At 43.2% G+C, this 7,407-nt stretch overlaps 1 long non-coding RNA gene across 2 annotated transcripts; it reads left to right on the top strand.

Annotated features, from left to right (window-relative positions):
* The first annotated feature begins 794 nt into the window (after nt 1-794).
* LOC105379335 (uncharacterized) lies at nt 795-7,117 on the top strand. Of its 2 annotated transcripts, none has more exons than XR_949599.2 (5): nt 795-1,378; nt 1,467-1,727; nt 2,485-2,610; nt 3,113-3,271; nt 6,498-7,117. It is a non-coding gene; the product is annotated as an uncharacterized LOC105379335 (long non-coding RNA). The 2 variants fall into 2 exon arrangements; XR_949598.2 differs by having other exon boundaries at nt 2,440-2,610.
* The last annotated feature ends 290 nt before the right edge of the window (nt 7,118-7,407 follow it).

Genomic DNA, 7,407 nt, shown 5'->3' with positions numbered 1-7,407 from the left:
TGTAGATTTCAAAAAGTGTGTAGAGGCGACACCCCCTTCTCCCAAACAGTTCATTCATAATGTTGGAGAGATGGCTGCAATTTTGCCATTTTGAAAATGGGGTCAACTATATTGTTAGTGTATTCTGGGAGGTTCCCTATCTTGGGAGCTAACATGGGGAAAGAATTTAAATGAGATTAGGGCTGAACAATTACAGAGGAAGCAGATATGACCTGTGCCTTTTTCCACTTTAGGTGATGGAGTGGTCCTAAAATGCAGCATCAGCATCTCCTTGGAGGTTAGAAACTCTTGGATTCCTGAGACATTTTGATTCTGCAGGTCTAATGGGGTCGGACTCTCTTTCTGTCTAAGCTCTGATGATAATCTCCCTTCTTTTTTGTTTTTTTGTTTTTTGAAACAGTCTCTCTCTGTCACCCAGGCTGATAATCTCCTTTCTTTTTCTTTCTCTTTCCTTCTTTCTTTCTTTCTTTCTTTCTTTCTTTCTTTCTTTCTTTCTTTCTTTCTTTCTTTCTTTCTTTCTTTCCTTCTTCCTTCCTTCCTTCCTTCCCTCCCTCCTTCCTCCTCCACCTCCTCCTCCCCCTTCCTTCCTTCCTTCCTTCTTCCCTCCCTCCCTCCCTGCCTCTCTCTCTCTCTTTCTTTCTTTCTCTCTCTCTCTTTCTTTCTTCCTTTCTTTTGAAACAGTCTCTCTCTGTCACCCAAGCTGGAGTGCAGTGGCACCATCTCAGTATTTCCTGGGTTCAAGCAATTCTTGTGCCTTAGCCTCCCGAGTGGCTGGGATTACAAGTGTGCGCCACTGGGCCTGGCCTGATGATAATCTCCCTCCTTTCTGAGATTATCTGGCCTCCTGGGTTCCTGGCCACAGCTGTGTCTTCATGGCTCTTGGCCACTTTGTGGGAGCTTTGCTTTGTTTCTATTCACTGTCTCTCACCTTCAGGCAGTGGAGTGTGGACATGGGCAGGACCCTTTTGGCTGCTGGGCCTCTAAACTCCCTTCCCTGCAACATATAAAAGCCTGGGTATGTTGAAAAATGTTTTTGGCTTATTTGTTTTTGCTTTTATTCTGAGGAAATAGAAGTTTATGCCCAGAACCCAAACAACTTTGTCTGGAATATTAGACACTGTGTACTCTTTGGCTCACTGTTGGGCCAAATTGCGTCCCTTCCTCCACCAAAGGAAAAAAAAGGTATGTGGAGTCCCAACCTCCTCAGAATGTGACCTTATAGGGTCTTTACAGTGGTAATCAAGTTAAAATGAGGTCATTTGGTGGGCTGTGGTCTGATATGACTGATGTCTTTATAAGAAGAGGAAGTTTGGACACAGGCAAGCACACGGGGAGAGTGCCATTTAAACGTGAAGACGGGCAACAACCCAAATGAGAGGTAACCTGTGTTTTGGGCTGAATTGTGCCCCCCTCCAGCTCCCCTCAACCTAAATTCATGTACTAAAGTCTAACTCCCATTACTTCAGAATGTGATTGTATTTGGAGATGGAGCCTTTGAAGATGTGATGGAGGTAAATTGAGCCACCAGGATGTGCCCTAATCCAATCTGACTGTGCTTACAAGAAGAGGAAATTTAGAAACATAGAGAAACACCAGGGATACAGGCACAGAGAAAGGACCGTGGGAGGACACAGCAAGAGGGCGGCCATCTGCAAACCAGGGAGCAAGGCCTTAGAGGAAACCAGCCCTGCAGGCACCTTGATCTTGGACTTCCAGCCTCCAGAACTGTGAGAAAACACATTTCTGTTGTTTAAGCTGCCCTGTCTGTAGTATTTTGCTATGAAAGCCCTAGACAACTAAGATAACAGCTGAGACCAAAGAGTTATGCTGAGGCAAAATGTAATTTTTTTAAAAGAATGAAAATGTTACAAAGGATTTTCACTTAGCAAGGGTAACAGGAATAATATTTTGAATTATTGAATGGATGCGTTTTTCATACCCCCGTAAATCCTGTTCTTCCACAGCCTTCCGCCATTAGGGCTAAGCCATAAACTGCAGGGTGGGTGAGGATGGGCAGTGCCTGGAATAAAAAGGTCATTGATGGCTTTGGTTTGCAAAGCTGACTTCATTGACTCCATATTGAAATAACAGTTTTGAAATGCAGACTTTATGGGGAGAGATAATGTTTATTTTCTGAATTTTAAAAGCTCCCTTTATAGGTGGAAAGTTAGGGCTGGAGTTTAGACATATAAGCCTTTGGTAGAGACAATGCAGATTATTTCATAAGGGAGGTGCTGACAGAATGGGAAGAGGAGACAAGAGGTAAAATAACCAGGTACCTGGTTTGTAGTGTACCTATTGTGCTGTTTGTAGCACAAAGACAAGAGTGCATGTGTGCACATGTGTGTGTGAGAGAGAGAGGAGAAGCTGACTTTGGGAGAGCGGAGGGGCTGTCTTTCCTTTCCTACAGGCACTCATCTAGTCTCTGTTTTGTTTCAGTTTGGAGGAATCCCAGAGCAGCGGCTTTGTTCCTTACTTTTTCAGGATAGACCGGGGAAATATCAAGTCCCAGAGAACTGCTGCATCCAGCACATGCCACCCAGGTGGTGGGTTAGAAAGGGCGGAATGAAGGGGGAAGACAGAGAGAATGGAGATGCCACTATCCTGCAGGTATTGCTGGGCTCCTAGTGGAGAATGCAGAAAGGAGCTGAGTGAGAGCCAGAACACTTGCTGTGGGGCTACCCGGGGCATCACCCAGGGCACCTGTGACCCTGTGGCAGAGGCTGTGGTTAGACACCAGGTCAGGGGAGGAGGGAGGACATTGCCAAGATTCAGAGCATTTGCAACACCAGTGGGAGTCAGACAGAGCCAAGATGGTGGAGTTGGGAGCAGGGCACGACCAGGTGGGACAAGAAACTTTGACTCCTGTGTAAGAGACCTGTCCTTGCATCTGAGAACTCCTGTCCTGTGGCTAAGCTCATGGAAGCTTTTCCCTACATGAATGGAAGGGCAGGTGAGGATGGGAGGGACACAGAAATCTTGAAAGATGATTTTACCAAAAAAAGACCACTAACTCAACTAAGACAGTGGTAAACTGGAAAAGACTGAATTATATTCACCTGGCAAGCTCGTAACCTCTTCCTCTCCGACCTCTTCCCTTTTCTCCTTCAAGCAACAGTGAGGTAAAAGTTATAGGAAACAAAGAAGTAACCTTTTCTGGTACCTCAATGCATTGGACATAGTTTTCAAATCACTACGACATGTGTGTGAATTCTTCTGAGTTCTGTAAGGCTTTGTCCCCAGCTTTTGCCACAGGAAAGCTTCTTTGCAGGTAAACAAAATCGAGAGAGGGTAATTATTTCTCAGATTATTTGTTTTCTTCTGTTTTGAGTCTGACTCTGTTGCCCAGGCTGGAGGGCAGTGGCCCGAACATGGCTTACTGCAGCCTTGACCTCTGGGCTCAAGGGATCTTCCCACCCCAGTCTCCTGAGTAGCTGGGACCACAGGCATGTGCCACCACATTCAGCTAATTTAAAAATATGTATTTTTTGTAGAGACAGGGTCTCACTATGTTGCCCAGGCTGGTCTTGAACTCATGGGTTTAAGCAATCCACCCACCTCAGCCTCCCAAAGTGCTGGGATTACGGGTGTGAGCCATTGTGCCCAGCCACTCAGATTCTTGATTTAAGATTGTTTATGCTCTGGGGCATGGTTACCTTGGTCACATGTATTCTACTAATATTATGCAAATAACATTTTGATTTTTGTTGTTGCTTATTTCAAAGGACTAACATAGGAGTTAGCAAACTTTTCCTGGAAAGAACTGGATGGTAAATATATTTGAGGTTTGTGGGCCACATAGTCTTTGTTGCAGCTATTCCATTGTGGCATTGTAGGGCAAAAGCAGCCATAGACAATATGTAAATGTATGGGCATAGCTGTGTTCCAACCAAACTTTATTTATGGACATTGAAATTTGAATTTTATATAATTTTGCATATGTCACAAAATCCTGTTTTGATTTTTTCCCCCAGCCATTTAAACATGTAAAAACTATTTTTAACTTAAAGGCTGTACCAAAACAGTCAGTGGAATGAATTTGGCCCACAGGCTATAGTTTGCCACTGCCTGGAGTAACATATAACATGCAAACATTTTATGTAGAAATGAATGCATTTATTACACACATAATATTTCAAAAATAAGATGAAAGGTGGGATTTTTCAGGGGAAAGGGGATACAAAAATCATGTTATTAGTTTTGGTCTAAACATGAATATTTGACTAAAAAGTAAATCAGATGTTGTTGGATTAGTGTGATTTTTTTTTAAGGCTATTTCTGCCCATGTTGTTGTTAGAACATTCTATTTTGATGAGAAAATAGTGAGATCATTGCAGTTATCACTGACACATCATGCCTATGATAACAACCTTTACCAGTGGCCAGGAGGATTGACTGGTTTCTTTTCTTTTCTTTTCTTTTCTTTTCTTTCTTGAGACGGAGTTTCGCTCTTGCTGCCCAGGCTGGAGTGCAATGAATGGCACAATCTCGGCTCACTGCAACCTCTGCCTCCCAGGTTCAATCGATTCTCCTGCCTCAGCTTCCCAAGTAGCTGGGATTACAGGTGTGTGCCACCACACCTGGCTAATTTTTTGTATTTAGTAGAAATGGGGTTTCACCATATTGGTCAGGCTGGTTTTGAACTCCTGACCTCAGGTGATCCACTCACCTCGGCCTCCCAAAGTGCTGGGATTACAGGCATGAGCCACTGCGCCTGGCCAACTGGTTTCTTTAATGCTATTTAACTCCGTATGCTGCTGTTTGTAGCACAAAGACAAGAGTGCATGTATGCACATGTTTGTGTGTGTGAGAGAGGAGAAGGTAGCTGTGGGAGAGTGGAGGGGCTGCCTTTCCTTTCCCACAGGCACTCACTCAGTTCTTCGTTATGCAACGTGCAAATCACCACCATTTATTACTCATGTCTAGCCTGTAGACTCCTCCATTAGAAGTCAAATGGACTTTCAGGGATCAGCCATTAAGGACCAAGGTAGACAGTAATATAGCCCCAGAGTCCCAAGAAATTACAGAGATAAAAACTGGGAGGACCCTCCTGCAATAGCCAGGAAGTAAGAAGAGAGAAAAACAGCTCAAGAAGGGTTGGGAAAATGCCATTTGACCAGGAAGCCTTAATACAGTTTCCAATTTCTCACTAAAATGCAGCCATCCATTGATATCTCAATCTAATTCTTTCCTGGGATTGTGCGAATAACAATCTTTTGGAGCCTGGGACCCTTATCTTTTTAAGTGGGAAAAATAATAGTGCTTTCTTGGCTGCCTAAAACCTCAACTATTTTTATTCTGAAAATTTAAAAAAAAACACTAAAACACTTTAAAACACCCATATAAAAGCCCACTAAGAATTTGTAAATAAAATAAAGCAATGTAAAGCATCAGTTACATAACAGTTAATGAACTCATCAGTGGGTCTCTTTGTAGGAAGTACACAACATTATTGAGAGATATCAGTTACAAATTACATTTTCTCTTGATACCAGGCAGTGAACATGTACAGCAATGAGTCAATAATAAAATAATAGGTTACAAGTATTCAAGATTCTATCTGTCCTGGGACCCAGATTGTTGGTGTCCCCAGGTGCCCAGGGGAGTGTAACATGGAAACTCTGAGGGGCTTAATCTCTAGGAGCGAGTAGAATCAGTGTAGCACACTCCATCCTGCAACCTGGGCTCAGGGCTACTTAATATGCTCAGTGTTCAGGCATGCATATGGCTAATCACAGATTTCAGATGTGAACAGTGAATTCTGCGTGAATATTTTTGCAAAAAGCAGCACATTCTCTGAGTAGCACAAGTATAGATAATGATACCTGTATGTATCTACATACACAGAATGAGACAAAAACTTACCAATCAGCGTAAACTGGTGTTGACAATCAGCCTAATGCCTGAAATTGGAAAGATTTTCTAAGAACAAGGCCAAGAGAATGACATGGAAAGTAAATGAATAAATCATTGACAAATATATCATCATGTCCCTCTTTTTCTTAATATTGTTAATACATTTAGTGACTATGCTATTATTTTATTTTTATTTTTTTGAGATGGAGTCTCACTCTGTCGCTCAGGCTGGGGTGCAGTGGCATGATTTTGACTCACTGCAACCTCCACCTCCCAGGTTCAAGTGATTCTCTAGCCTTAGCCTCCTGAGTAGCTGGGACTACAGGTGTATGCAACCACACCCGGATAATTTTTGTATTTTTAGTAGAGATGGGGTTTCGCCATGTTAGCCAGGCTGCTCTCGAACTCCTGACCTCAGGTGATCTGCCTGCCTTGGCCTCCCAAAGTGCTGGGATTACAGGTGTGAGACACTGCACCCAGCCACCATGCTATTGTTTTATACAAATAGCTGGTGTGCAGAGATATAAGATATGAATTTACTTTCCTCATCTACTCAGCCATAGGTCCCTACAGAGTTCATTCCTCCTATGCATCGAAATGCTTATTCTCCCTATGTGCCCTTCCCTCCATTGTCTCTGCAGTGACTCCATCCCCTATGCCCGTCCTTCTGGCATCCTCGCTCCATCCTATGGTTGCTGTGGAGACGGCTCCAGCCCCTCAGGTCCTGTGTGTGCTGGAGGGACATGGAGCCCTTCAGATTTTGTAGGGTGAAGTGCCCTGAAGCCAAGGGATTTTGCCCTGCCTGTCCTGCCCTCCTCTCTCTGCCAGCATCAGCCTTGCCAAACTCTTCACCTAAGGCTGGCTTCCAGACATGAGTAAGAAGAGATGAGATTTTGGGGCAAGGAAGACCCAGCTCGGAAACACACTTGTGAATCTGGATATCTGTGTCTTAAATAATTTTGTGGTTTTTTTTCTTACTACTAAATTCATATTCATTGTGGAAGATTTGGAAACTTTTGACAAGCCAAAAGAAGAAAGTAAAAATCACTAGATAATCCTACCACCAAGAGACAGCCGCTGTTCATATTTTAGTTTACCAACTCACATACGCATTTTCCTACACAACTAACTCCCTATTTATGTGATTGTCCACTTAGGACTTGTGAATCTTTCCATGTCATTCACTTAAAAACAAGTAAACGTTGTATTATTAAAATAGAGTTTAAGGCAATAAACCAAAATGTTAACAGTGATTAACTCTGGAGGGGGGCAGAACTCTTATGGTTTTTCTTTGCATTTTAAAGCTTTTCAAGCTTTTAAAATAGTAAATGTATATTACTTTTTTTTTTTTTTTTTGTGACGGAGTCTCTCTCTGTCCCCCAGGCTGGAGTGCAGTGGCACGATCTTGGCTCACTGCAAACTCCGCCTCCCAGGTTCACGCCATTCTCCTGCCTCAGCTTCCCGAGTAGCTGGGACTACAGGTGCCTGCCACCACGCCTGGCTAATTTTTTTGTATTTTTTAGTAGAGACAGGGTTTCACCGTGTTAGCCA

This window comes from Homo sapiens, chromosome 8 (assembly GCF_000001405.40).
Source record: "Homo sapiens chromosome 8, GRCh38.p14 Primary Assembly".
Lineage (NCBI taxonomy): Eukaryota > Metazoa > Chordata > Mammalia > Primates > Hominidae > Homo > Homo sapiens.
This window is presented reverse-complemented; position numbering and strand designations above follow the sequence as displayed.